The following is a 3314-nucleotide window of genomic DNA, read 5'->3' as shown; positions in this document are numbered from 1 at the left end:
ATATAATGTGCACATAAATTACTTGCAGATTTTGTTGAACCTGTAGATTAGGTCTGAGTGGGGCCCATGAGGACGTGAGCAACACAATAAACCAACTAGATAAAACAAACATATTCAGAGCCCCTACCGTTACAGAGCACGCATTCTTCTCAAATGCACACAGGATATTTTCTAGGACAGATCATATTTTAAGCAACAAGTTAAGTTTCAACAGATTTTAAAAACAGATATCCTACAAAGTACCTTCTCTGGCTACAATGGGATGAAATTAGAAATCTATAAAGAAGGAAATTTTTTAAATATCCCTCTAAATTAACAACAACAAAAAAAATCCCACAATTTTTGGCCCAGGACCTGACACACAGTAGACACTCAACACATGATAACAAGTCACACTTGGGTTCAGTGGGCATGATTATTGTGAAAGGGAATCTGCTTGCCATGTTTACAGCTTGACAGAGGAGGGAGTTGTGAGTTGCTGTTTTCATACATAGTTAAGAGAAATATTATCACTGTTTCCCATGTGATTGGAACATGGGGGCTGTTTCCCCCATGCTGTTCTCGTGACAGTGAGTGAGTTCTCATGAGATCTGATGGTTTTATAAGGGGCTCTTCCCCCTTTGCTTTCTCTCACCGTTGTTTCCCAGCTCACTGTTCCCCTTCTTATCTGAGGGCACCAGCCCAATCAACCCTACACTGTCCCAACTCCAATGCTTGCTCCTGCCTTTCTCTACACCTGAAATGTCTTCTTTTCACATCTCCTGTTGCCCAGATCCTACGCATTCTTTGTGTCAAATGTCAACACAATGTCTTTCCTGATGCATGTCAGCTAGAAACTCTAGACGACATTATTTTCTCCCTGTTGGGATATTTACCAATGATAAAACATTATCAGTGTTTTCCCGCTTTTCCCATGGTTGGAAGTCCCAAGGTATTCACTTGCTCTTCAGGGATGGCTACATACCCTAAAGGGCTATTCTTGGCTCACATACACATGCTTCTTTCTACTGGATCTTAACATTTTATTTTAATAGTTGGCTTCACATTAAGCAGCATATCCACACACAGGCCTATTTCAGAGAACAACCAATGCACGTAAAACAACTTAAAATGATGGTACAAAATGAATACAAACAGTCGCCTAAAATTTTTTCTGTTCTTTCTCATTTTTTACTCTATATGTACCCAGCAAGAAGGGGCTAGTGCTGTTTTCTGATTACGGTGGAGAGGTTTGGGGAGCCACAGAGGATAAGTCACTTTGTCCATGATCCTCCAGCAGGTCAGTAGTAAATAGGCACTGCGGTGGCTTTTACCAGGGCAAAGTAGTTAAGCCGTATGGCTAGAATTCCCCTTTCTGTGTGGCCATGGGAGGCACGTGTGTGAGGCTGGAAGTGAAGTAGTAGGAAGACCGGTAGTGAGTCAGGTGTCGCGCGCGGGTGCAGCCCATGAACGGTGCTGCGGCTTTGCGGGCACACCTCGGTGTGGGGCAGCAGCTGATCCACAGCTCTTCCAGTCCTGCTGAATTTCTCCTCGGGATTCTCTGCCTCCTGGGCCAGGTACATGTTTAGCTCTGTGGCAAAGGGCACCAGCCTTTCCCTCTGGTCACACGCATCACCCAAGTCTGAGGTGTGGAGGCGGGAGAGGAGGCAGATGCTGGTGGGAGTCCCTCCTTGTGGGTCCCAGCTTGTCCCTGCCTGCCCTGTTACATTCTTCTTTTCTTTCCTGAGATTTATTATAGGGCAAAGCCCTGTAATAGGTCTCATACTCTATATCATTCCCAGTGGCCATGTGCTTCTTTGATTGAACTCTGAAGGTTACATGAGCAATATCAAGATTTTCCTTTTTTTTTTTTTTTTGAGACGGAGTCTTGCTCTGTCGCCCAGGCTAGAGTGCAGTGGCGCAATCTTGGCTCACTGCAAGCTCTGCCTCCCGGTTCACGCCATTCTCCTGCCTCAGCCTCCTGAGTAGCTGGGACTACAGGCACCTGCCACCACGCCGGGCTAATTTTTTGTATTTTTAGTAGAGACGGGGTTTCCCCATGTTAGCCAGGATGGTCTCTGTCTCCTGACCTCGTGATCAGCCCGCCTCGGCCTCCCAAAGTGCTGAGATTACAGGCGTAAGCCACTGCACCCGGCCTAGATTGTTAAATGTTTCATCGGACCTAAAAGGGTGCCTAGCTCTTAGCTGATTTCCTGGATCTGGAAAGCAAGGAAGGAAAAAAGAGAGGGGAAAGGGGATTCTCTATAGAATGCGATTTTTTTTCCCACAAGAGAAAACTTTGCAGGGCAATTTCAAGATTTGGCAAGGAAACATATTTGGGGTTAAAATGTTTTGACTTCTTGCCTTATTTGTTATATGATGTTATGCCAGAGTCAGGTTAGAATGCAGACCTCGCTCTATAGGCTTAAAATAAAAACCCCTCTGATGAGACTTTATGGTTTGTAAGATGTGACTCCTCAGACCCCTTAGGTAGGAATTTGGGCATGTTAAAAAAAATTAAAGCTTAGTTCTCTGTCTCCTCCCTTTCTCTTACACACACACACACACACACACACACACACAGAGACACACAGACACACACACACAAATTTGAGACAGAGTCTCACACCGTTGCCCAGGCTAGAGTGCAGTGGCACAGTCATGGTTCACTGCACTCTTGACCTCCCTGGGCTCAGGTGATCCTCCCACTTCAGATTCTCAAGTAGCGGGGACTACAGCACATGCCACCACACCCAGCTAATTTTTGTATTTTAGTAGAGACGGAGTTTTGCCATATTGCTCAGGCTGGTCTCGAACTCCTGACCTCAAGTGATCCACCCCCCCTTGGCCTCCCAAAGTACTGGAATCACAGGCGTGAGACACTGCACTCAGCCTAATAGTTTATATTTTAAAAGACTCTGTGGTGCTGTTTCTCATAGACTTTATAGAAGCAGGGAAGAATCAGAACATGATCAAAACCATTTCAGGACTCAATGCCAAAAGATATTTTGTTAGATACATTATAAGGAAAAACGATTTGTGAAACTATGTGAATATTGCTCTGACATTTGCAAAATTATGCTGTCTACTTCTGAACTCCCCGAGACAAGAGAAACAATAACTGGACATTGACAGAAAAAGTGAGCCAAATTAAATAGAACAAGCATTGAATGATGACCTTATATATCAAAAGTTAGGAGGTACAGCCAAAGTAGTACTTACAGGGAAATTTAGAGCTTTAAGTACAAATATCAGAAAAGAGAAGGTTGGATATAAATAATCTAAGCTTCTAAACCAAAAAGAACAGGCAATAAAAGGATGAGGTGGAAGGAATT

The sequence above is a fragment of the Homo sapiens genome, chromosome 2 (assembly GCF_000001405.40).
Source record: "Homo sapiens chromosome 2, GRCh38.p14 Primary Assembly".
NCBI lineage: Eukaryota > Metazoa > Chordata > Mammalia > Primates > Hominidae > Homo > Homo sapiens.
This window is presented reverse-complemented; position numbering follows the sequence as displayed.